A 26,807-nucleotide genomic window follows, 5' to 3' on the forward strand; every position below is an offset into this window, starting at 1 on the left:
CAATACTAACATAACTATAAAATACACCTTATTTCCTAATAGTAAGGATCAAAGGCAGAGATCATGCCTTACTCATCTACGTATCCTAGCATACAACATGACAGCACATAGTAAAAGACAGTTAAAGGCATGATGAAATAAAATACTTAAAAGTACTTTTTAAGCTATTAAAAATGATCAAGGCGGCTTAGGGACGGGGGCAAACAAAAAGCCATCCAAGGGTCTGGAATATCTCAAAAAATTCAAGGAAAGAAAAAATTAAAGAGATAGGTTATGGCCAAACTGTGAAGAGCCATGTTTGAATTTAATTCTCTAAGTAACATGATTAGTTCTGTCTTATAGAAGAAAATGGAGAACTAAGGAAGATAGACTGGCCTAGCATGGTGGCTCGAGCCTGTAATCCCAACACTTTTGAGAGGCTGAGGTGGGAGGACTGCTTCAGGCCAGGAGTTCGAGATCAGCCTGGTGAAGAAAGCAAGACCCTGTCTTTACAAAAAATTTAAAAATGATAAAACAAACAAACAAAGAAACTAGACTGGATGAGAGAGAAGGCTGATGGAACAAGTGAAAGATGGCAAGAACCTGAACTAAGCCGTGACTAAGAACGATGGACAAAACAAATCATAGACAATAGGCATTTGGAGAAACCCGCAGTGTACAGGGATTGAGAGGGAGAAGGGTTCTGGACGGATGTGCCAGTTATCGGTTGTGTCCAAGCTCTTCTTCATCCTTTTTGCTGGCTCCATGAACATGGATCTGTACCCTTCGAATATTTTTCCTTTGCCAATTGAAACAATGTTAAGCTTCGTCAGGAAGTCACTGAACATACACTGTAGGAAGAGAGGTTTTGATTCCTGGTTGTGGTATGCTCATTTAGCAAGTTCCTGTCTGTAACACCCGTGGTTTCTATAGCATCTGGCTCCTGTCAATTGTGCAGTTTCACCAAACCCTGGCTCCTGGCGTGCACAATGGCCAGCAGGACCTAGCAGCTTCCCCTGGCACCACTCGTGTAACAGCTTCTCTAGTAGGACACATCCCCAGGAACAGCTTTTCCCAGTATCCTAGAGGGCAGACTTCCCAGATTTCTAGCACGTTACCCTGGCATGACATCACAGCAACTTTTCTACCATTCAGTGAGCCAAGGCCATGCCTTCGCCAACAATGTCAGGATCTCAGCCCTGGGGATGGAGAACTCTTCCTGACTCTATCTCAGCCCTAGAAGTATGAGCTGCTCCCTAAATCTGCTGGTCCTTTATTTTTTTAAGAGTTTTATTTACTTCTTAAATCCCTACCTATTCCACTTCCCTGTAAAAACAGGTGTTTTTTTTTAGATTAAACCAAAAAATGAGATTACATTTTTATATTTATTTATTTATTTATTTTTGAGACAGAGTCTTGTTGTCACCCAGGCTGGAGTGCAGTGGTGCGATCTTGGCTCACAGCGACCTCTGCCTCCTAGGCTCAAGCTATTCTCTTGTCTCAGCCTCCTGAGTAGCTGGGACTACAGGCGCACGCCACCACACCCGGCTAATTTTTGTATTTCTAGTAGAGATGGGATTTCACCATATTGGTCAGGCTAGTCTTGAACTCCTGACCTCAGGTGATCCTTGAACAACACAGATTAAAGCTGCACAGATCCACAGATACGTGGACTTTCTCCGGTCTCTGCCACCAGAGACAGAAAAACCAACCCCTCCTCTTCCTCCTCAGCCCACTCAACTTGAAGATAATGAAGATCTTTATGATGGTCCACTTCTACTTAATGAATGGTAAATATGTTTTCTCTTCCTTATGATTTTCTTAATAACATTTTCTCCATCTTACTTTATTGTAAGAATACAGTACACAATACATAAAATATACAAAATATATGTTAATGGACCCTTTATTTTATCGGTAAGGCTTCCTGGTCAATAGTAGGGTATTAGTAGTTAAGTTTCTCAGGAGTCAAAAATTATACTCAAATTTTTGACTACGGGGGAGGGACAATATCCTTAATCCTTCATTTGTTTAAGGGTCAACTGTATATCAAAAAGGCTTTCTCACACAACCAGGATAAAGACTTACCTCACTGCTGGGAGCCTCATGCTCAGGAACTACATCTCGATGCTGGTTTTGAGAAACTGACACTCCACTGAGAGAAACAGAAGTGTTTTTTGGTGTATGGAAGGCATTGATGAGATGACTCAGAGGAACTGTAACCTAGAAAAAGATAAAAGTTAAAAACTAAGTAGTTTTTTTTTAAATAAACAGAACAATCTCCTTTTTTTGTCAGGATTTGTTAAGAGTTAAAGGTACATTATATATCAACTCTGTATACTAAAAACTGTAAGTACTCAGATTTACTGCTGGTGAGACGAAAACTGGTATGTTCTTTCAGGATATTATTCTGAATATGTAAATCAAAAGTATCAAAAATACATACATTTCTTGTTTGTAGCAATCCACCTTCTAGGAATTTATTATAAGGAAATAATCTGACAAGTACTTGCACATGCATAGAGAACAACTCTCATCGAAACATTTAAAAAATAGTAGAAAGCTGGAAACATCCAGCATTAGGGGAGCGGCAAAACAAATGATACCACTGGTCGAGTGCAGTGGCTCACGCCTGTAACCCCAGCACTTTGGGAGACCGAGGTGGGTGGATCACTTGAGGTCAGGAGTTCAAGACCAGCCTGACCAACACAGTGAAACCCCATCTCTACCAAAAAATACAACAATTAGATGGGTGTGATGGTGTGCGCCTGTAGTCTCAGCTACTTGGGAGGCTGTGGTAGAAGAATTGCTTGATCTCAGGAGGCGGAAGTTGCAGTGAGCTGTGATCATGCCACTGCACTCTAGCCAGGGCAACAGGGTGAGACCTGTCTCTCAAAAAAAAAAAAAAAAAAAAAAAAAGAAACTACCACAGAATGAAATACATCCAACATTTAAAAAAAAAAAAATAGTAAGTAGGCCGGGAATGGTGGCTCATGCCTGTAATCCCAGCACTTTGGGAGGCCAAGGCAGGTAGATACCTGAGGTCAGGAGTTCGAGACCAGCCTGGCCAACGTGGTGAAATCCCATCGCCACTAAAAATACAAAAAAATTGGCCAGGAATGGTGTTGGGCGCCTGTAATCCCAGATACTTGGGAGGCAGAGGCAGGAGAATCACTCGAACCTGGGAGGCGGAGGTTGCAGTGAGCCAAGATCATGCCATTGCATTCCAGCCTGGGTGACAAGAGCAAAACTCCATCTCAAAATAAATAAATAAATAAAAATGAAAACAAAAAAAACACTTGAGCCCAGGAAGTTGAAGCTGCAGTGAGCTATCATGCCACCACACTCCAGCCTGAATGACATGGCAAGACCCTGTCTCAAGAAAAAAAAAAATTTACTTAATAAATATTTGTTGAGTAAATGAATACATTAAATGGGTTCTTATTATATACCAGGTTTAGTACTACAGGCTTTACTTCTATCATCCCATTTAATCCTCAAACAGCTATAATAATGAGTAACAATTATACTTCTTGTTACAGTTCTGTCAGAGACTTTTGAACCAGAGTGACTCCATCTGGAGTAGGGGCAAAATGAGGGTAAATGAGGCTGAGACCTACTGGGTTGCATTCCCAGGAGGTTAGGCATTCTAAGTTACAGGATGAGATAGGGTGTGGGCACAAGATACAGGTCATAAAGACCGTGATGATAAAACAGGTTGTAGTAAGGAAGCCAGCCAAATCCCACCAAAACTAAGATGGAGAGGAGAGTGACTTCTGCTAGTCCTCACTGCTCATTATGTGCTAATTATAATGCATTAGCATGCTAAAAGACACTCCCACCAGACCATGACAGTTTAAAAATGCCATGGCAACATCAAGAAGTTACCCTATGTGGTCTAAAAAGGGGAGGAACCTTAGGGGTCCCCCTTTCCCTGAAAACTTATGAATAATCACACATTGTTTAGCATAAAATCAAGAAATAACTAACTGTAGGTATCCTTCGTGGACAAGCCCAAGCAGCTCCTCTGCCTATGGAGTACCCCATTCTTTACTCCTTTACCTTCTTAATAAACTTGCTTTCACTTTATAGACTCTCTCGCCTTTTTTTTTTTTTTTTTTTTTTTGAGATGGAATCTCGCTTTGTCGCCCAGACTGGAGTGCAGTGATGCAATCTCGGCTCACTGCAACCACCGCCTCCTGGGTTCGAGTGATTCTCCTGCCTCAGCCTCCCGAGTAGCTGGGACTACAGGCGCAGGCCACCACACCCAGCTATTTTTTTGTATTTTTAGTAGAGATGGAGTTTCACCATGTTAGCCAGGATCTTGATCTCCTGACCTCGTGATCCGCTCGCCTCTGCCTCCCAAAGTGCTGGGATTACATGCGTGAGTCCCCGCGCCTGGCGACTCTCTCGAATTCTTGTGCGAGATCCAACAACCCTCTCTTGGGGTCTGGATCAGGGCCCACTTCCAGTAAAAATTCCAGTGTTTATCTCCTTCAAAACTCAAGTTTGAGTTGAGAACAATGGCAAACTTAGTTGCCACTGTAATCCTGTTAAGAGGTGGGACCTTTAAGAGGCATTTAGTTCAGGAGGGCTCTGCCCTCATCAATGGACTAACGCCATTATTGTGGGTACAGACCATTTAATAGATGAAGACAACAAAGATTTAGAATCTGACTCAAAATTCCAGACTTCTCATCCCATGGATATTGATACACAAATAAATTCGTGACATACTAAGGAATAAAGCTGACCGTAAAACTACCTTAAGTATGCATACCCGTGGGGGCGCGGTGGCTCACGCCTGTAATCCCAGCACTCTGGGAGGCCGAGGCGGACGGATCACAAGGTCAGGGGATGGAGACCATCCTGGCTAACACGGTGAAACCCCATCTCTACTAAAAATACAAAAAATTAGCCGGGCGTGGTGGCGGGCGCCTGTGGTCCCAGCTACTTGGGAGGCTGAGGCAGGAGAATGGCGTGAACCTGGGAGGCGGAGCTTGCAGTGAGCGGAGATCGCGCCACTGCACTCCAGCCTGGGCGACAGAGCGAGACTCCATCTTAAAAAAAAAAAAAAATTAAAATAAAAAAAAGTATGCATACCCGTGTTTGTTTATAGAAAAAAATGTGTGAAAGAATTTAGTCTAAGATACGTATCCCTGAGTAATGAGATTATGGGCGATCTTATTTATACTTTCAGCATTTTTAGCAAAAAAACATGGATTTGTTTTAAGGCTAGTCAAGTGAAGCAATGTATCATTTTTAGAGTCAGAAAGAAACAGTAAGTTCCTTACAGCCTGGGGGCAGTAAAAAGAAAAAAAAATAAACAGTAACTTCTTTTGAAACTTTAAAAATAATCAAATCATTTCAAGATACATATTTTCTACCTCTTTGAAAAGATTTATTTGAATTAGTTATATCTCTTTTATTTGAATTAGTTATATCTCTTTTCTTTCACAAAAGGATTTAGAGTTGAGCTCTTCTCAATGAAAAAGTTCATTTTCTGTGTCTTCCTTTTTACCATTTAATTTCAAGTGTATTCAACCAATTAAGCAACAAGGAATTCCAAATGTGTTACCATCCTTCAAAGCAAGAAATGCCTGAGAGTCCTCACTATATTTGAGCCCTGTTAAGACTGCCTAGGGTACATAAAAATCCCTTTATCATCTCTACCAACATCACATACTACTAACTGTCCATTCAGTTGATGGTAAATTCTCCTAAAATCAGGCCTCTTGATGTGAACTAAGGCAAAGAGTTGAGTTTCAAAAACTTCAATACCATATTCAATAGGCCATGTCAGACTTCTTTTTCAAACAATTACTAGGACTTCTCCAGACACTGTCATCTTGGTAAATAGCACCTTCAATGCATTCATCTGATCAAACCCAGAAACACCTCTCCCCATCATCTCTCTGATCTCTCATGCAATTCCACTTTCTTCAAAATATATCTCATTCTCTTCTTTCCATAACCACTGCAACAGCTTTAATTGGGGGGTGGGTGGGTATTTTTAGCTGATAACATCTTCCACTCTTGCCCTCTCCTATTCTCCATATAGCAAAAGCCAGTCATCTCTTAAAAATGAAAATCTAATCATGTTTTAAAACTTTCAATGGTTCCCAATACACTTAAAATGAAATCAGCCATAATATATCCTTTACTCCCTGTATGATCTGCCTCAAGTCTTTTCTCCAACCTCTTCTGTCACTACCCCCTTTAACTACTATGTTCTAGCCACACTAGCCTTATTTTTGTTCCTTCAACCTGCTAAACCCTTTCCTAACTCAGGACCTCCAGGTATTTTTCTGTATGCCTGTGATACCTGTTCACTCTTCACCTTGCTAAGTCCTACTCATATTTACTTCATATCAATATTAAGAGAAGATTCCACATTTGCTTTGCTCACCTGGTACATAACTGATGCCCAATAACAAGCAGCTGCTTCAGTTTGTTAGCCAGTACTAGCACAAAAAATTAAAAATTCTTAAAATGAGGGGGAGTAAAAGTTACACAAAGGAACACAATCATATGCTTAAATCAAGAACCTAAGAGTGTCGATTTTCTTAAAAATTATGTTTTAAAAAAACTCAATGTTTTAAAAACTATTTCTTTGCAAAACTGTAGGAACTCTCAAAAAATCTATTAAAATGTTACCATCAAAAAAAGAGACTGGAATGAAGCAAGAATAAAACATTGTCACAAGTGATTGCCCAAGAGCGTAATGAAAACCCTTGAAATCATTTTTCTCTTCACTACCTTTTGTTTTACAAAACGATGAGGATGAGGCTGAATCAAAATTTTAACTGCAAACAGTTTACGACTCGGAAATACACATTTTAGTTACTTCTGGTCAAAATGAGAAAAAAACTTGCATGGCTGGCCATCCGAAATATTATACCATGTTTGGGTTAAATTTAAATTCCATTTAAAAGGAAATAAAGAGCAGGGGATAGGGGCTGTGAACACTAAAGCCACTGGAAAGTCGGAAAAAAGGGAACATTACCTGCTCCCTTTAATGTATGGTACAGACATTTTCCCACCCCAGAACGCCGGACACTGAACAATGCCGGACGGATTCTCTAGCAGAAATTCCACGCAATCAGTTCGATAAGCCAGGGTCTCTCTCTATCACTGAGCTCACATCCCGCCTCTGCCCTCAACAGCTTCATCGTCAGCACTGAAGTCTCCGGCCCACTCTCAGCGTCGTCCCCTGATCCACTCCTCAATCCTGGGATTCGCATTGAGTACATCACTTCATTTCTAGAGTCCCTTCTGAGAAATCGCTTCCACGAGCGCAATTTGCAAACAGCCACGGGCAGGGCGGGAGGAAAAAAAATGGGCTGAATGCCTGGCTTACCTGGGGTTGCACCGTGCTCGACAAGGAAAACATCTCCGGCGGGCCCTCAGCGACCTCACCCGCCTGCCGAAACTGTGCCCCTCTGTCCACGGCCCGGCGGGGAGGCGCTGAGCCCTTCTTTTTTCCTTTTTCTCCGACCCGTTGCCCCTCACTCCTCCCAGAAACGGAAAATGGCCTCCCCTTCCTACAGCTACTGCAACGACAGACAATCCGCCCCGGAAGGCGAGGCGCTAACTCAACAGTACTTCCGGGGCAAGTGAGCGCCCACAAGGCCAAGTGCCTGCGCGTTCTTTCCCGCGGAAGTAGTTGACATTTACAAGGAGCAGCGCCCCCAAAGGTCTTTAGCTGTTTTTTAAGGGGAGAACAGCCTTTACCCTCTTTGGACTTTTTCTTCGTTTTTTTTTTTTTTGGAGACGGAGTTTCGTTCTTTCGCCCAGGCTGGCGTACAGTGGCGCGATCTCGGCTCACTGCAACCTCTGCTCCCCGGGTTCAAGCGATTCTCCTGCCTCAGCCTCCCGAGTAGCTGGGATTACAGGTGCCCGCCACCACGCCCGGCTGATTTCCTCTTAAGACTTTCTACAGCTTCCTTATGAAATCTTCTGACTGGGCCTTGAGCAATAAGGTCTTTTGCTACAATTTAGTGCTCTTTTCCTCACACTAAATCGAAAACTCTCCCTGTTGGTCCTGATCTGTTTCAGTCAGGCAAATTACATCCTGGGAAAACGTCAGATGACAGGGGAGGCCACTCGCTTCCTGCTCATCCAGTTTCGACACTTTCTGTGCTTTCATTAGCTTCCAGACCTCAGCCCTGGCCCTCGCTTTACTGTACAGTCAGAACTGGTTTCTACGCCTCGCGAGGGTGGGAGGTCGTGTATGGGAGGAGGACCGCTTCCCACCAGCCTCGTTGGGAAGCCAGGAGAAATCTCTTCAAATCCTGCGATTCAGAGTCAAGTCCCAGTCGTCCTTTTTCTGGTCGGCCCAGAACTGTTTGTGCCTCCTCCCTCATGAGGAATGATGTCAGTGGGGCCGCGGTCGCCGCCCACGAAGAGTGTAAGGCTGCGAAGTCGGGGCTTTCCCGACGCCCCCTCCGTCCGCGTCTGCGTAGGGGAGGTGACGAGGGCGGGGCGCGGCGGCGGGGTGACGTCACGGCCGCGCGCGGCGTGGGCGGAGCCTCACTTTGAACCCAGTTGGCGGGAGTGGCTGCTCGCGGAGGGGCAGTGTCTGCGGGGCCGCTGTATGCTGTCCAGCGATGGATCCCACCGCGGGAAGCAAGAAGGAGCCTGGAGGAGGCGCGGCGACTGAGGAGGGCGTGAATAGGATCGCAGTGCCAAAACCGCCCTCCATTGAGGAATTCAGCATAGTGAAGCCCATTAGCCGGGGCGCCTTCGGGAAAGTGTATCTGGGGCAGAAAGGCGGCAAATTGTATGCAGTAAAGGTAGGAAGTCAACGAGTAGCAAGGAAGGGGTTAGGCCCTTCGGCCCTCCTTCCTGCCCCACCGGCTTGGGCAGGCCCCGGGGTTGCTGGAGCGAGGAGTCTGGGTGGCCTGGCTTGCTGAAGCCTCCAGAGCCCTGCGAGCTGACTTCTTTTTGGGGCGACATCAGCGGTCGGGTCGGGTGTCTCGCCTCTGTTCCGCCCTTCCCTCCATATCTCAGATGCCCAGTGAGAACAGCAAAGTTTGACTCTCTTCTCCCTGCCCAGCGTTAGCAAATGAGGAAACTGAGGCCAAAGGCAAAGGGACTTGACCGAGGTGATTACATCGGTCTTAGTACAACAGGCACTTAAAGCCAAAGCCGTGATTCGTAGTCTCACCCTGGCTTGAGTTAGGTTTCTTTTTTATTTTTTTTTGAGGCGGAGTCTTGCTCTGTTTCCCAGGCTGGAGTGCAGTGGCGCAATCTCGACTCACTGCAAGCTCCGCCCCCCGGGTTCACGCCATTCCCCTGCCTCGGCCTCCCGACGAGCTGGGACTACAAGCGCCCGTCACCACGCCCGGCTGATTTTTTGTATTTTTAGTAGAGACGGGGTTTCTTTAGTAGAGACGGGGTTTCACCGTGTTAGCCAGGATGGTCTCGATTCCCTGACCTCGTATTCCGCCCGCCTCGGCCTCCCAAAGTGCTGGGATTACTGGCGTGAGCCACCGCGCCCGGCGAGTTAGGTTTCTAAATCCAAAAGGTTTTTAGTAATTAGTGGTTTTGTTTACCTTGTTTGCTTTGACGTGCAGAATCGTCGAAATTTTTCTACCACAGAAGAGTGATTAATCTGTAGGCACTGATAACTTTTTAAGTTTTATTCTTAACCAGAAGAAAGATTACTATTTTCTGAGAAGTCTTTAATAATTTTTTTTTAAGACAGTCTTTCTCTGTCGCCCAGGCTGGAGTGCTGTGGTGCAGTCTCGGCTCCCTGCAGCCTCTGCCTCCTGGGTTCAAGCGATTCTCCTGTCTCAGCCTCCCGAGTAGCTGGGATTACAGGCGCGCGCCACCATGCCTGGCTGATTTGTGTAGTTTTTTTTTTAGCCGAGATTGAATTTAGCCAGGTTGTTTTGGTTATGTTGGCCAGGCTGGTCTGGAGCTCCTGACCTCAGGTGACCCGCCCACATCGGCCTCCCAGAGTGCTGGGATTACAGGTGTGAGCCACCGCGCCCTGCCCTGCTATGAATTTTTTTTTTTTTTTTTTTGAGATAGAGTTTCACAGTGACGTGATCTCAGCTCACTGCAACCTCCACTTCCCGGGTTCAAGCGAGTCTCCTGCCTCAGCCTCCCGAGTAGTTGGGATTCCCGCCACCACACCGGGCTAATTTTTTGTATTTTTAGTAGAGACGGGGTTTCACCATTTTGGGCAGGCTGGTCTCAAACTCCTGAGCTCAGGTGATCTGCCCGCCTCAGCCTCCCAAAGTGCTGGGATTACAGGGGTGAGCCACCGTGCCTGGCCTTATGCTGGTTCCTTTTTAAGTGCTTTTCTTCTACCCTTTTGTGCTCTTCTCCACCTGTCTTATTCATGTATTAAGATTCATCTTAGCTCCCCTTCACACCTTCCCTAATCTTTCAGAATTGGAAGATCTGATTGAATTGGTTACTTTATATGTTCCTGAGATTTTTACTTTTCCTTCTACAGTACTTAGTCATGATCAGTTGAAATGAAAACACCAATCCATGTGTTCAGTCAGTATTTGCTTAGCACCCACCCTCTTTGTGTCTACGAACTGGACAACAATGGGGAACAAAACACACATGCCCTCATAGCCAGTGGAATGATAGGAAAAATCATGTTACCAGCTTGCTTTGTCAGTTTCCCTCAGTTTTCTTAAAGAAAGGAGTTAAGGCAGGAATTTATCATGTACTAATGATTTTATTAAGTACTCGAATAAATCTTTGAAAGAAATATGCCTTTTTTTCTTATAGCAGTCCTGAGAATTGATCCCAGTGTTACTGACTATTCAGTTTAGTGCTCCAACTTTATTTTTATTTATTTATTTATGTATTTTTAATTTTTCTTAGTGCTCCAACTTTAATAGTTCTGTTTCTGTACAGATTACCTTGAAACTTGAAAAGAGTAATTAGTTTTCTGTAAGACAGCATTTGGGACTGTTAAATTTCAGTAGTTCTAATCATTCCAACTTAAGATTTTTTTTTTCTAGGCAAACTTCCGACATTCTTCCTCTTTCTGATTCTATCCCCATCTATCAAAAAATCAGAAGTTAAAAAAAAAAATTAAGTAGTTACTCCACGCCCAGGTGCTAGTTATCTGTGGGCTTATGAGGAATGTAACTGTCTTTTGACTTCGTTATCAGAACAGTGGAACAGAATTTTTTTTCTATTAATATGCAGGGCAGTCTGGGAATATTTAATTTTTTTTCCTTCTTGAAAGAGATTATGATACTTCTGCCATTTAATACCAAGATAAGCAATTCTATCTTGAAGATTTTTTTAAACCGTCTTAACTATTTTTTGTACGTGCTTTCCTGATAGCAGTGTAAGGTCCACATGACATCTATATGTGTTCTCTCTGTTAGCGTTTTCATGATGGCAACTTTGAAACCTGAGATCACTCTGTAATTTAAAAACAAGGCAGGGAGCTGTGGCTTCCACGTGTAATCCCAGCACTTTGACAGGGGTATTGCTTGAGGCTCATTTTGGGCCAGCCTGGGCAACGTAGTGAGACCTTGTCTCTACAACAAAATTAAAAAGTAGCCAGATGTAGTCATGTGTGCCAGTAGTCCCAGCTACTTGGGAGGCTGAGGTGGGAGGATAACTTGAGCCTAGGAAATCAAGGCTGCAATAAGCTTTGATCATGCCACTGCACTCAGCCTGGGCAAGAGAATGAGACTCTGTCTCAAAATAAAATAACATGATATCACTTTTATTTTATCTATTACAGGTTGTTAAAAAAGCAGACATGATCAACAAAAATATGACTCATCAGGTCCAAGCTGAGAGAGATGCACTGGCACTAAGCAAAAGCCCATTCATTGTCCATTTGTATTATTCACTGCAGTCTGCAAACAATGTCTACTTGGTGAGTAAATAATTTTTATGTTGTTTCTTTATCCATTAAGCAGTCATTGAACCTAGTGATTTAAGAGAACCATGTTTTGGTTCAGAGTGCTTGCATTTGAATTCTGGCTGCACTCACTGCCTTGGCAAATTTACCTGTTATATTAGTTAGAGTTCTCCAAAGAAAAAGAACCAATAAGATATATGCATACGGTGCGTGTGTATGTGTATGTATATGTACATAGAGAGACAGGCCAAGGGGCCATGGCTCACACCTGTAATTCAAGCACTTCGAGAGGCTGAGACAGAAAGATCACTTGAGGCCAAGAGTTCAAGACCAACTTGGGGAACATAAGGAGACTCCATCTCTACAAAAAAATTAAAGTAAAAATTAGCTGGGCATGGTGGTATGCAGCTAGCTAATAGAGATACCATTGCACATAATTGCACCCCAGCCTGAGATAGAGTCTCCCTCTGTTGCCCAGGCTAGACTGCAGTGGTGCAATCTTGGCCACTCTGCACCTCCTGGGTTCAAGCAATTCTTGTGCCTCAACCTCCCAAGTAGCTGAGATTACAGGCCCAGCTAATTTTTTGTATAAATTAGCTGCCACCAGGCCCAGCTAATTTTTTGTAATTTTAGTAGGGACGGGGTTTTGCTATGTTGGCCAGGCTAGTCTCGAACTCCTGGCCTCAAGTGATCTGCCCATCTTGGCCTCCCAAAGTGCTGAGATTATAGGCGTGAGTCACTGTGCCCAGCCTAAACAGTTTAATTTTTAATTAAAAACTGTTATGGCAACATGAATAAACCTAGTATTAATGTATTACGAGTAATAGCAAGAAAAGGTCGTTTCATTACAGAGCCATGCCAAATATTGTAACTGTAATGCCCAAATACTAGATTTTTAAAGTAATCATATTGTTTTTATTTCACAATATTAAATTCTTTTTTGAAAGGTAATGGAATATCTTATTGGGGGAGATGTCAAGTCTCTCCTACATATATATGGTTATTTTGATGAAGAGATGGCTGTGAAATATATTTCTGAAGTAGCACTGGCTCTAGACTACCTTCACAGACATGGAATCATCCACAGGTAAAGACTGACTTCTCCAAATTATTACTTAAAAATTCAAGTAATCAAATTACATATTTGAGTCTCAGATATTCACAGTAACCACTTGCACTTATTTCCAGGTTATCTAAAGTTTACTAGTAACTTGTATTCATTTAGAAATTAACTCTTCTTTCATCTCCCTGTGTTTTTTAAAATATATTGCTTTGAACATGAGTATAGCATGTATTTATTTATTTTTGTATTTACATATTTATTTATTTTTTTCTTTGTTGAGACAGGGTCTCACTTTGTCATCCAGGTTGTGCAGTGCAGTGACTTGACCTTGGCTCACTGCAGCCTCGACCTCTGGGGCTCAAGCAATCCCCCTGCCTTAGCCTCCCAAGTGTCTGGGAGTAGAGGTGTGTGCCATTACTCTTGGCTTTTTTTTTTTTTTTTTTTTTTTTTTTTTGTAGAGACAAGGTTCCCAGGCTGCTCTTTAACTCCTGGGCCCAAGGGATCCTCCCACCTCAGCCTCCCAAAATGCTACGATTACAGGCATGAGCTACCACGGCCCATTAAGTATGGCATTTTATGTGAAGAGTATTGAATCCTTTCCGCTCCTCTGCATTATACAAAAGTGGTATATTTTGTAGTCCAACTGATTTACAATGTTTTTCTCTATGCAAAGAAAGTCAGATTAAGTGACTTATTAAATCTCAATCTTACCTTCCTTTAAGAAGGTAAATGTAGGCCAGGTGTGGTGGCTCATACCTATAATTCCAGCACTTTGGGAGGCTGAGGCGGGCGGATCACCTGAGGTCGGGAGTTTGAGACCAGAGTGGACAACATGGTGAAACCCTGTCTCTGCTAAAAATACAAAAATTAGCCGAGTGTGGTGGTGGGTGCCTGTAATCCCAGCTACTCGGGAGGCTGAGACAGGAGAACTGCTTGAACCCGGAAGGCGGAGGTTGCAGTGAGCCGAGATTGTGCCATTGCACTCCAGCCTGGGTGACAAGAGTGAAACTCCATCTCAAAAAAAAAAAGAAAAGAAAAAAAAGAAAGTAAATGTAAATTTGAACTGGCTTGAGGTTGATTTTATCTAATAAGGTTTCTTTATTTTAATGGAATATCTAACCAATGATACCAAAGATAATCTAGTATTAATTTATCTTTTTTGTAGATTCTGATAAACAGTACGAAAGATGTTTTGCTTTTGAGAGATGTTTTCTGTACTTTTCAAAGCCATCAATGAGTATCTTTATTTTGGAGGAAATAAATAGGGTTTGCCTCCTTTGTAACTCTTTTTTTCTGGAAATTCTAACATTAAAACTAGCCCTTTTTTGGTTATCTAATATTTGCCTTTTGTGTGTGCAGGGACTTGAAACCGGACAATATGCTTATTTCTAATGAGGGTCATATTAAACTGACGGATTTTGGCCTTTCAAAAGTTACTTTGAATAGAGGTAAGAAAAATATCAAGTAAGTACTTTTTTAAAACATCCAACAGGCCAGGCGTGGTGGCTCACACCTGTAATCCCAGCACTTTGGGAGGCCAAGGCGGGCAGATCACCTGAGGTCAGGAGTTAGAGACCAGCCTAGCTAACGTGGCAAAACCCCATCTCTACTAAAAATACAAAAATTAGCTGGGCGTGGTGGCATGCGCCTGTAATCCCAGCTACTAAGGAGGCTGAGGCAGGGAGAATCACTTGAACCCAGGAGATGGAGGTTGCAGTGAGCTGAGATCCCGCCATTGCACTCCAGACTGGGAAACAAAGTGAAAATCTCTCTCAAAAAAAAAAAAGTCCAACTAAAAATAAATATAAAAAATTAAAAAAAATGAAAAGTCTAACAAATTATAGAGACTACATTTCATTAACTTCCACTGTTTTCTTTGTTAGTTTACACTAAATAAAATTTGTTATTTATCCCAGAATAGGCTAGAAAGGTATAACGGGTTCTTTTTTCCACTGAAGATGAAAAATAGGAGTGATTATTCTTGGCTATTCAGAGGTCCTTGAAGGTCCTTTGATCTTCACAGAGGAACTCACAATTTCTGTTTTTCTGACTTTTATCCCAAGTGAAATTGATTCTTACCAATTAAGCATCAGTAAAATGACCAGAATAACTATAACATGATGAAGGGTTAATAACTGAAAACATATTCAAATATACACGGCCACCACTAAGACCTTGATCAACAAAAGGACAAAGAAAATGAATACACAGTTAACACATATATGTATATATGGGACTGTGTTCTTTTCACTAGTAGTAATTAAATAAATGCTAATATAAGAAAGAGTAAATGAACCATCTTACACTATTAAATGGGCAAAAGAAAGGAATACCGATGGTCCAGTTAGTAATACTACCAAAAAAGCACACTAATATTTTTCTGGGGGCATTGTAAATTAGCATAGTGCTTTCTGGAGGAAATCTGCCAATATGTTTTTAAATATAAAAGTTTTTAATTCTCTTTGATCTAGTGGCTTATGCTTTGGAATTTATTCTAAGGAAATTGTTCAAATGAACAAAATACACATAAATGAAATCACTTGTAGCAACATTGTTTCTAATAGGGAGAAACTAGAAATTACTTAAGTTCATCATAGAAACATGGATAAATGATTGATTATCAACTTAGAAACATATTGTATTCTTGGCCGGGTGCCGTGGCTCATGCCTGTAATCCCAGCACTCTGGGAGGCCGAGGCGGGTAGATCACTTGAGGTTGAGGTCAGGAGTTCTAGACTAGCCTGGCCAACCTGATGAAACCCCATCTCTACTAAAAATACAAAAATTAGCTGAGTGTGGTGGCACACGCCTGTAGTCCCAGCTACTTAGTAGGCTGAGGCAGGAGAATTGCTTAAACCTGGGAGGCAGAGGTTGCAGTGAGCCAAGATCACGACACTGCACTCTAGCCTGGGGGACAGAGCGATACTCCATCTCGAAAAAAAAAGAAACATATTGTATTCTCTATTAGAAAGTGTAGACGGATGGGAAAGTATTAATAATGAAAATAACCAGAAATTGGACTTAAAAACTCTGGAATTATAACTATTAATATTTGAAAATATATGCAGATCTACAATTCTTCATGTGGAAGTACAAAGTTCAACAGTTATGAATACCTAAAACTTTTTACTAAGTTTGGTAAAATCTGATCTATGCTGATGTAGGGGTATTTATAGTCTTTTGTTTGTTTGTTTGTTTTGGGATGGGGTTTTTGCTCTGTTGCCCAGGCTGGAGTGCAATGGCGTGATCTCGGCTCACTACAACATCCACCTCCCGGGTTCAAGCAATTCTCCTGCCTCAGCCTTCTGAGTAGCTGGGATTATAGGTGCCCGCCACCACGCCCAGCTAATTTTTGTATTTTTAGTAGAGACACAGTTTCACCATGTTGGCCAGGCTGGTCTCGAGCTCCTGACCTCAGGTGGTTCACCCGCCTCGGCCTCCCAAAGTGCTAGGATTACAGGCATGAGCCACCGTGCCTGGCCAGGGGTATTTATAGTCTGTTGATTCCAGTTCATGTGATTATTCATATGATTTGCCACTAGGGATATTTCATAATATGCAGTATATTTACCACATTACTTTTCTAAAATCTAAACATTTTTGAATTGTGATTTCAAAGAAATCTGACTTTGAAATCTTATTTCGAAATCTGATTCTAAGGATTTCAGATAAGCTATTGGAAAATATCACAAATGACAAAAATTTTGCATTAAGATAAAATTGTTGATAAATTTAAGTCACTTTGTTTATCATAAGGGTCTAATTTTAATAAAACTTTTTTTGTAAAATATCATATACGTGTATTATTATTATCACTTCATCAATGTGAGGCATAAATGACATTTGTTGTTAAAACTTTCAGTATACTTTCATTTATTTACTTATTTGTTTTTTTTTTTTTTCTTTGAGACAGAGTCTCGCTTTGTTGCCCGGGCTGGAGTGCTGGAGTGCAGGGGCACAATCTAAGTTCACTGCAAGCTCTACCTCCTGGGTTCACGCCATTCTCCTGCCTCAGTCTCCTGAGTAGCTGGGACTACAGGCACCCACCACCACGCCCGGCTAATTTTTTGTATTTTTAGTAGAGATGAGGTTTCACCATGTTAGCCAGGATGGTCTTGATCTCCTGACCTCGTGATCCACCCGCCCTGGACTCCCAAAGTGTTGGGATTACAGGCGTGAACCACCGCGCCCAGCCTATTCATTCATTTATTTATTTTGAGAGAGAGTCTTGCTCTGTCACCCAGGCTGGAGTACAGAGTACAGTGGCATGATCTAGGCTCACTACAACCTCTGCCTCCCAGGCTCAAGCGATTCTTGTCCCTCAGCCTTCCGAGTAGCTGGGACTAGAGGCATGAGCCACCACACCCAGCTAATTTTAAAAAGTCCTATAAGAACATTAGAGTTCTGGGATTATTTTTGTTTGTTTAAGAGACAGGGTCTCACTGTATTACCCAGGCTGGAGTGCAGTGATGTGATCATAGCTTACTGTAGCCTTGAACTCCTGGGAAAAGCAATTCTCCCACCTCAGCCTCCCCAGTAGCTGGGACTACAGGTGCTTGCCACAATGCCCAGCTAGTTTTTAAATTGTAGAGATAGGTCTCACTATGTTGCCCAAGCTGGTTTCAAACTCCTGGGCTCATGGGATCCTCTCCATTTGGCTTCCCAAAGTGCTAGGATTACAGATGTGAGCCACCATGCCTGGATAAGAACATTAGACTTCTCTTACCATTTTTTATATCTAAGTGGAATAGTATAGTATTATGTGTCAGTGTTGAATTATTTTAAAATATTATGCACTGAAACATGCTAATAATCTGGGTCAGTTTCTATCTTGACCTAGGCTTAAACATATTAGCTAACGTGAGGGGCCTAAAATTAATATTGATTCCATACCATCTCCTTATTTATTTATTTAGTTTTTGAGATAGAGTTTTGCTCTGTCGCCCTGGTCGGAGTGCAGTAGCGCGATCTCGGCTCACTGCAACCTCCGCCTCCCGTGTTCAAGTGATTCTCCTGCCTCAGCCTCCCGAGTACCTGAGATTACAGGCGCCCACCACCAAGACCAGCTACTTTTTGTATTTTTAGTAGAGACAGTGTTTCACCATGTTGGCCAGGCTGGTCTCGAACTCCTGACCTCAAGTGATCCATCTGCCTCAGCCTCCCAAGGTGCTGGCATTATAGGTGTGAGCCACCGTGCCCAGCCACTGTCTCCTTTTTTAACATTTGGTTTACAAAAAATTGTTTTGTTGTCATATACATAACATTCATTTTTAGTCAATGGGAGGTAAAGGTTTTAAATACATTTATATACTTTTCTTTGCATACATAGATATTAATATGATGGATATCCTTACAACACCATCAATGGCAAAACCTAGACAAGATTATTCAAGAACCCCAGGACAAGTGTTATCGCTTATCAGCTCGTTGGGATTTGTAAGTACTTGAGAAGAAAATTAACATGACATACCCCTTCATGATCACCACTTAAAATTTAAAATCACCTTTAAAAAAAAAGATCAAAATAGATTTAAATATCAAGCATTTGGATTTACTTTAACAGTTTGTCTACTTAGGTGGTATAACAGTCTATGTACTTAGGTGGTGTTTTGGGGAAGGTAAACCTGTTGTTTTTATTTTTCTCTTTTTAATAGAACACACCAATTGCAGAAAAAAATCAAGACCCTGCAAACATCCTTTCAGCCTGTCTGTCTGAAACATCACAGCTTTCTCAAGGACTCGTATGCCCTATGTCTGTAGATCAAAAGGACACTACGCCTTATTCTAGCAAATTACTAAAATCATGTGAGTATAAAAGAAAAGGTAGGCCAGGCGCAGAGGCTTACACCTGTAATACTACCACATTGGGAGGCTGAGGCAGGATTTCTTTCTTTTTGAGACGGAGTCTTACTCTGTCATCCAGGCTGGAGTGCAATGGCGCGATCTCGGCGGCTCACTGCAACCCAGGAGTTCAAGACCAGCCTGGGCAACAAAGTGAGACTTCATCTCTACAAAAATTAGCTGGGCATGTTGGTGCACACTTGTGGTCCCAGCTACATTGGAGGCTGAGGCAGGAGGATCGCTTGAGCCCAGGAGGTTGAGGCTGCAGTGAGCCTTAATAGCGCCATTGCACTCCAGCCTTGGTGACAGAGTGAGACCCTTCCTCAAAAAAACAAAAAATGCCCCAAAATTCAAAACATTTTGAGTACCAACATGACACCCAGCAGTTTGGGCAGCCGAGGCGGGCGGATCCCTTAAGGTCAGGAGTTCGAGACCAGCCTGGCCAACATGGTAAAACCCTGTCTTTACTAAAAATACAAAAATTAGCTGGTCGTGGTGGTGGGCACCTGTAATCCCAGCTACTCAGGAGGTTGAGGCAGGAGAATCGCTTGAACACAGGAGGCGGAGACTGCAGTGAGCTGAGATCATACCACTGTACTCCAGCCTGGGTGACAGTGAGACTGTCTCAAAACAAGCAAGCAATTTACCATTATTTATTTGCTTTATCCAGTAGTATTTTTTAAAAATCCCTTGTAAGTGTGTATAATTGACATTTGTAAGCGCATAAACCTCAGTGTTAATAAATACAAGTTGAATTAAATACAAGTGTTAAATTAAATACAAGTTGAATTGAGTAAATGTAGTCATATTCTAACCTTATAGCACGTCTGGATATACCACATCAATAATGTTCCTTTGTCAGGAATGGGTTCAAATTGGATGATAGCTATTCCAAATTGATTTGCTCCTAGTTATACATTAATTTGGTGGTTCATACCTGTAAGTACAGCACTTTGGGAGGCTGAGGCGAGAGGATCACTTGAACCCAGGAGTTTGAGACCAGCCTGGGCAATATAGTGAGACCCCCATCTCTAGAAAAAATTAAAAGCATTAGCCAGATTTGGTGGTCCTCACGACTCAGGAGGCTGAGATGAGAGTATCGCTTGAGCCCAGGAGGTCAAGGCTGCAGTGAGAGTAATCATACCACTGCACTCTAGCCTGGATGACAGAGGGAGATCCTGCCATGAATTAGTCAATCAATCGACCATTCCCTTGTTCTTATTCTTTACTGAATGAACGTTAAGGGGATTTTGTTCGGTTCTAACTTTCATAGCAGTACTTGTGTCTAAACATAGTGGGATATGTTTAGATATATTAATAGTATATGTATCTAAACATAATGGGAAGCATGCCAGCTGTTCTTGTGGACTAGATAGTGTTTACAAAGAAATAGTTCTGATATGTAATTCTTAATACATATTAATATGTAATTCTTGATACTTTGCTTAATTATATGTAAAGATTCAGGTTCAGTAAGGAACTAAGAAAGCTGTAACATGGAATTCAATATTGTCTCTTCTCTATAGGTCTTGAAACAGTTGCCTCCAACCCAGGAATGCCTGTGAAGTGTCTAACTTCTAATTTACTCCAGTCTAGGAAAAGGCTGGCCACATCCAGTGCCAGTAGTCAATCCCACACCTTCATATCCAGTGTGGAATCAGAATGCCACAGCAGTCCCAAATGGGAAAAAGATTGCCAGGTTTGAGGGACATTTATCTTAATGAAAATCAATTATGTATGTCAAATGAATGTGAGAAATATTATACCTTTTCATATAAATTCCATAAAGAAATGAAATTGTTACATGAATGGCAGTCATAGTATTAATCAGAAATTCATTTTCCTGCACATTCTGTCAAATTCTTTTGAAATATTTCATTTCTCATTCAATTGTGACATTGTTCTTACTTGATTATATAATGAGATTCTTGCAGTAAATTGATAATAAATGCTTGGCTTCTGTGTATCTAGGTGGACCTCACTTGTTTTTAGAAGTCCTTCCCATGATACAGACATTGGCTTGTTGGTTTTGTTTTATTTTGTTTTTAACCTATGTCATTTAAAAACTCATATTACCTCCTTCTATACTGTTTCCTGTCAGTTTCTTGTTTAATGGAATGGTAACTCTTCTGGATCAGAAATAACTTTTAGACCGGAAAGGTAACGTGGGTGTGCCCTTAAAGTGTCTGTTCTGAGGATATTGCTTGCCAAATGAATGGACTTACTTAAAGTCACTTTACTTAACTTACATATTGTTTTTGCCTTTTTAAACAGTTATTAGAGCTAAGCCCTTAAAGTGTCTGTTCTGAGGATATTGCTTGCCAAATGAATGGATTTACTTAAAGTCACTTTACTTAACTTACATATTGTTTTTGCCTTTTTAAACAGTTATTAGAGCTAAGAGATACTAAAGGTGGTAGGAACTAAAATTTAAAATCATAATAAGGTTTCCTTCATAGAAGGCTGATAAAATAATGATAGATTAGGATAACACTAATATCCAAAGAATAAACCTTTTATTTGCTAAAATAATTTTGATTCTATTTGCTGCTTATTCTCAGCAATAGAATTTTATTATTATTGGATATTTGTATTCTATAAGCAAGATCAAATTAACGTTTAACTAAGGCAGAGTTTCTTAATCTTTTTTCCTTCTGTCTTTATAAAGTAAAGGTACTATATGCTGCAAGATAAACAGATTTCCATTCCCAGTACTATTACTGCACTCCTTTCCTATTGAAGAAAACATATTGTTTACTATTTCAAATTATACACAGCTTTACTATCCTCCCACTTCTGCATCCCTGAGGGATGCACCGATGGGATTATAGTGGTGCTTCTCAAGTTATGATCAGAGGAATGATAAGGCACCCTCTGAAAAACCTTACACTGATCCCCACATGCATCATTTTCTGTGCTTACAGATCAGTGAGATATAATTCAAGAATATCCTTTTTTAGGCCAGGCGCGGTGGCTCACGCCTGTAATCCCAGCACTTTGAGAGGCTAAAGTGGGTAGATCACCTGAGGTCAGGAGTTTGAGACCAGCCTGGCCAACATGGCAAAACCCCGTCTCTACTAAAAATACAAAAATTAACTGGGCGTGGTGGTGGGCGCCTGTAATCCCAGCTACTCAGGAGGCTGAGGCAGGAGAATTGCTTGAACCCGGGAGGCAGAGGTTGCAGTGAGCGGACATCATGCCTCCAGACTGGGCAACGAGCAAAACTCCATCTTCAAAAAAAAATATCCTTTTTGCTTGAGACTAAATGCTCATTATTATTACTAAGTTAATGATAGTTAATAAAGTTTACTATTCATTTACACATCAAAAATAAGCACTATTAGAGTTTACTGAAGACTCACTCTACTTGACTAATCTTGTAAAAATCTTGATCACCAAGCACCAATTTGCAATATTATATACAAAGCTGAGTACCCACAAATACCCACAGATAGTTGGAATTCAGAAAAAAAAATCATTATTAATGCATTATCAGTTCATCTTGTTGACAATGGACTTTAATTTCTGCTCTTTGGGGTTTGTAATTATTAATTACCATTAATGTCATTTCATCCTTATCAGCTTGGTTTTTTAATACTTATATGAAGTGATATATATTTACACTGACAATATTTTAGGTCTATAATTTTTCATTGACTAAATTTCAAGCCCTGTGCATTTTGCAGTTCAAAACAGAATCATCCAGGCCAGGTGTGGTAGCTTACACCTGTAATCCCAGCACTTTGGGAGGCCTAGGCAGGTGGATCACCTGAGGTCAGGAATTTGAGACTAGCCTGGCCAACATAGTGAAACCCCATCTCCACTTAAAAAAAATTATGCAAAAATTAGCCAGGTGTGGTGGTGTGCCCCTGTAATCCCAGCTACTTGGGAGGCTGAGGTGGGAGAATTGCTTGAACCCAGGAGGCAGAGGCTGCAGTGAGCTGAGATCGCACCACTGCACTTCAGCCTGGACGACAGCAAGACCCCATTTCAAAAAAAAAAAAAACAGAATCATCCATATACCTATTGCAAAATAGATATGTACGTAATGCAGCCTTACCCCAAAATGTGCCTGAATATGTTGCCTGTTAATTTGTCCTGTTTAAGTAGCCTGTGATATACAATCAAAATAAGTATTATAGAATAATTTATTTAAAGTTTAGACCGTTTCATTCAGAATAATGTATATAAGCTTATAATTGCTTACATTGCTTTTTAATTCTCTGTTGTTTATTTTTTCCATTTGAAAGTGGCAACAGGTAGCATAATAGTTTATGGGGTCATTTATCCTACCTTAACGGACCATAGTTAAAAGGTCAATGAATCTCAGCTTTATATAACTAAAACAAATATTTTTTTCCCTCTTAGGAAAGTGATGAAGCATTGGGCCCAACAATGATGAGTTGGAATGCAGTTGAAAAGTTATGCGCAAAATCTGCAAATGCCATTGAGACGAAAGGTTTCAATAAAAAGGATCTGGAGTTAGCTCTTTCTCCCATTCATAACAGCAGTGCCCTTCCCACCACTGGACGCTCTTGTGTAAACCTTGCTAAAAAATGCTTCTCTGGGGAAGTTTCTTGGGAAGCAGTAGAACTGGATGTAAATAATATAAATATGGACACTGACACAAGTCAGTTAGGTTTCCATCAGTCAAATCAGTGGGCTGTGGATTCTGGTGGGATATCTGAAGAGCACCTTGGGAAAAGAAGTTTAAAAAGAAATTTTGAGTTGGTTGACTCCAGTCCTTGTAAAAAAATTATACAGAATAAAAAAACTTGTGTAGAGTATAAGCATAACGAAATGACAAATTGTTATACAAATCAAAATACAGGCTTAACAGTTGAAGTGCAGGACCTTAAGCTATCAGTGCACAAAAGTCAACAAAATGACTGTGCTAATAAGGAGAACATTGTCAATTCTTTTACTGATAAACAACAAACACCAGAAAAATTACCTATACCAATGATAGCAAAAAACCTTATGTGTGAACTCGATGAAGACTGTGAAAAGAATAGTAAGAGGGACTACTTAAGTTCTAGTTTTCTATGTTCTGATGATGATAGAGCTTCTAAAAATATTTCTATGAACTCTGATTCATCTTTTCCTGGAATTTCTATAATGGAAAGTCCATTAGAAAGTCAGCCCTTAGATTCAGATAGAAGCATCAAAGAATCCTCTTTTGAAGAATCAAATATTGAAGATCCACTTATTGTAACACCAGATTGCCAAGAAAAGACCTCACCAAAAGGTGTCGAGAACCCTGCTGTACAAGAGAGTAACCAAAAAATGTTAGGTCCTCCTTTGGAGGTGCTGAAAACGTTAGCCTCTAAAAGAAATGCTGTTGCTTTTCGAAGTTTTAACAGTCATATTAATGCATCCAATAACTCAGAACCATCCAGAATGAACATGACTTCTTTAGATGCAATGGATATTTCGTGTGCCTACAGTGGTTCATATCCCATGGCTATAACCCCTACTCAAAAAAGAAGATCCTGTATGCCACATCAGGTATATTTATAACTTTCTAATACTGTTTTTTGGATTTTAGAAAAACTATGAAGACAGACATTTGCCTCTAAGCTAGACTATGCGGTATTAATCATATAGTTCTGTTCTTCTTGTTGAGAATCTGTGGGCTGTTGGAAGTTTTCACCCAGAAAAGTAAAGCTGGTAGAAATCATGTTTATTATTTTTAGCTGTAATGCCTCCTTCCATTTGTGTCGTTTTATGTACTTTCCTAAGAAAATACAATCACATATTTTCACTTGATCCCCACAGTACTATGAGTTACAAAATTAATTTTCACTTGATCCCCACAGTACTATGAGTTACAAAATTATTATTATTATTATTATTATTATTATTATTATTATTATTGAGACAGTCTCGTTCTTTTGCCCAGGCTGGAGTGCAGTAGTGTGATCTTGGCTCATTGCACACTTCACCCCCAGGTTCAAGCGATTCTCCTGCCTCAGCCTCCCAAGTAGCTGGGATTATAAGGGGCCCACCACCACACCTGGCTAATTTTTGTATTTTTAGTAGAGTCGGAATTTCACCATGTTGCCCAGGCTGATCTCAAACTCGTGACCTCAAGCAATCCGCCCACCTCGGCCTCTCAAAGTGCTAGGATTACAGGTGTGAGCCACCTCACCTGGCCAGAGATAATTTAAGTCCGCTCTACCTTACTGCCTTCCAAGGACATATTTAGATGATCTCTTCTTAAGAGAATAAAAGTTGAAAAATATGTTTCTTTTTTTTTTTTTTTTTTTTTTGAGACAAAGTCTCGCTCTGTCACCAGGCTGGAGTGCAGTGGCGCGATCTTGGCTCACTGCAACCTCCGCCTCCCGGGTTCAAGCGATTCTCCTGCTTCAGCCTCCTGAGTAGCTAGGACTACAGGCATGTGCCACCATGCCCAGCTAATTTTTGTATTTTTAGTAGAGATGGGGTTTCACCACGTTGGCCAGGATGGTCTCGATCTCTTGACCTTGTGATCTGCCTGCCTTGGCCTCCCAAAGTGCTGGGATTACGGGCATGAGCCACCATGCCCAGCGAAAAATATATATTTCAAAGCTTACTCTCTATATTCTAAACCTTTACCAACCCAAAGTTTTACTTTTTTTCTTCCTTTGGGAAAACATCATAACATAAAATGTGTAACCCCTGAATTTATGTTTCGAAACTTGAGTTTTCTACCCAAGACTTACTATTAAATGACTTAGAAGTCCCTTAACCTCAGACCTGCAATTTTTCTAAATGTCTGTAAGGGATAATGGCACCTGTCTTGCTGGTCTTACAAAGTTGTTGTGAATGCCAGGCGTGGTGGCTCACACCATCTTTGGGAGGCCAAGGTGGGAGGATCACCTGAGGTCGGGAGATCGAGACCAGCCTGACCAACATGGAGAAACCCCGTCTCTACTAAAAATACAAAATTAGCCAGGCATGGTGGTGTATGCCTGTAATCCCAGCTACTTGGGAGGCTGAGGCAGGAAAATTCCTTGAACCTGGGAGGCGGAGGTTGTGGTGAGCCGAGATCGCACCACTGCACTCCAGCCTGGGCAACAAGAGCGAAACTCCATCTCAAAAAAAAAAACTTGTTGTGAAATAACAAATTATCCTAAAAATTTTTAAATGCTATTTAGTACAATAGGTTATATGTAGTTCTGTCTTACGTGTTGTCTTAATCATTTGTTAGCCATAGCCTTCCTCAGTGGCTCTTCTTAAGCTTGTATTAGTCCATGCTATCAGTCTTCTTGCAGATTTTTTCACTGAACATTTTTCTTGCAGATTTTTTTTATTGTTTCTTATCTAGATCTTATTGGAATAATCAGTGTTGTCTAAGCTTTTGAACTTCACCAGATAAAAGGACTTTTTCATAATTATAACTAATTATGCATTCATTTTCAAAACTTATCAAAAATTTGACTACATCCTTTACGCCTAGTAGCCTATGAGCTAGTTATTTGGCTTGTGTGTTTCACCATTTTCTATTCGGTGTAAAAGGAATTAAGATATTTGTTATCTCTTAAACCCTTTTTGAATTAGCAGACCCCAAATCAGATCAAGTCGGGAACTCCATACCGAACTCCGAAGAGTGTGAGAAGAGGGGTGGCCCCCGTTGATGATGGGCGAATTCTAGGAACCCCAGACTACCTTGCACCTGAGCTGTTACTAGGCAGGGCCCATGGTAAGGCATGCATGTCTTGAGTTTTTGAAGTGTTATCTATCACTACATTATCTTTCAAGGTTAAATTTTAAAAAATTTCTTCAGTACTTACGTTACCTAAAGTAAAAGAAAATGAACTCATCTAGTATATATATGGCATTTGTCATAGGAAAATAAACTAGCAGTAGCCATGGCTGTCCCACTCTCTGAATGTAAAAGACCAGATGCTGGAGTACATGTAGTCATTTGTCCTTTGCCTTCTGGTTCAGTCTCAATGTTCCAGAGAAGCCCCACCTGCCACCCTTGATATTATCTTATCTCTTTTTTTATTTTTTTATTTATTTTTATTTTTATTTTTTGAGACAGAGTTTCTCTTTTGTCACCCAGGCTGGAGTGCAATGGTGCAA

The 26,807-nt window shown here is 41.2% G+C and overlaps 2 protein-coding genes across 27 annotated transcripts in view, besides 4 other annotated features; one reads left to right on the forward strand and one right to left on the reverse strand.

Annotated features, from left to right (window-relative positions):
* YME1L1 (YME1 like 1 ATPase) overlaps positions 1–7,546 on the reverse strand; it is a 44,274-nt gene extending 36,728 nt beyond the window's left edge. For 2 of the 4 annotated variants that reach the window (XM_011519300.4, NM_139312.3), the window contains exons 1-3: positions 7,340–7,546; positions 2,068–2,202; positions 660–830 (exon numbers count right to left, since the gene is read on the reverse strand). In XM_011519300.4, coding sequence (XP_011517602.1) covers positions 660–830; positions 2,068–2,202; positions 7,340–7,372 — 339 coding nt within the window. In that variant the 5' untranslated portion in view covers positions 7,373–7,546. The remainder of the gene's footprint in view (positions 1–659; positions 831–2,067; positions 2,203–7,339) is intronic. The other 2 variants (NM_001253866.2, NM_014263.4) reach the window with 1 other exon arrangement.
* Positions 7,641–26,807, forward strand: part of MASTL (microtubule associated serine/threonine kinase like) — a 33,475-nt gene continuing 14,308 nt past the window's right edge. For 8 of the 23 annotated variants that reach the window (NM_001320757.2, XM_006717519.5, NM_001172303.3 and 5 more), the window contains exons 1-9: positions 8,514–8,774; positions 11,711–11,848; positions 12,781–12,920; positions 14,256–14,344; positions 18,226–18,332; positions 18,551–18,701; positions 20,264–20,436; positions 23,106–24,245; positions 26,280–26,421. In NM_001320757.2, the coding sequence (NP_001307686.1) occupies positions 8,589–8,774; positions 11,711–11,848; positions 12,781–12,920; positions 14,256–14,344; positions 18,226–18,332; positions 18,551–18,701; positions 20,264–20,436; positions 23,106–24,245; positions 26,280–26,421 (2,266 nt within the window). In that variant the 5' untranslated portion in view covers positions 8,514–8,588. Of the gene's footprint in view, positions 8,390–8,513; positions 8,775–11,710; positions 11,849–12,780; positions 12,921–13,180; positions 13,301–14,255; positions 14,345–18,225; positions 18,333–18,550; positions 18,702–20,263; positions 20,437–23,105; positions 24,246–26,279; positions 26,422–26,807 lie in introns of those variants that run through there. The other 15 variants (NM_001320756.2, NM_032844.5, XM_017016852.3 and 12 more) reach the window with 6 other exon arrangements.
* Positions 8,276–8,335: an enhancer, noted in NCBI's record as "active region_3180". NCBI's record gives its function as "activates an Ori minimal core promoter by ATAC-STARR-seq in GM12878 lymphoblastoid cells {active_cell/tissue: GM12878}" and the evidence as "EXISTENCE:reporter gene assay evidence [ECO:0000049][PMID:35858748]".
* Positions 8,396–8,605: a silencer, noted in NCBI's record as "silent region_2244". NCBI's record gives its function as "represses an Ori minimal core promoter by ATAC-STARR-seq in GM12878 lymphoblastoid cells {active_cell/tissue: GM12878}" and the evidence as "EXISTENCE:reporter gene assay evidence [ECO:0000049][PMID:35858748]".
* Positions 8,403–8,601: a silencer, noted in NCBI's record as "fragment chr10:27444170-27444368 (GRCh37/hg19 assembly coordinates)". NCBI's record gives its function as "represses an EF-1alpha promoter that drives an FKBP-Casp9 reporter gene in an ReSE screen in K562 erythroleukemia cells {active_cell/tissue: K562}" and the evidence as "EXISTENCE:reporter gene assay evidence [ECO:0000049][PMID:32094911]".
* Positions 8,956–9,205: an enhancer, noted in NCBI's record as "active region_3181". NCBI's record gives its function as "activates an Ori minimal core promoter by ATAC-STARR-seq in GM12878 lymphoblastoid cells {active_cell/tissue: GM12878}" and the evidence as "EXISTENCE:reporter gene assay evidence [ECO:0000049][PMID:35858748]".

Source organism: Homo sapiens, chromosome 10 (assembly GCF_000001405.40).
Source record: "Homo sapiens chromosome 10, GRCh38.p14 Primary Assembly".
Classification (NCBI taxonomy): domain Eukaryota; kingdom Metazoa; phylum Chordata; class Mammalia; order Primates; family Hominidae; genus Homo; species Homo sapiens.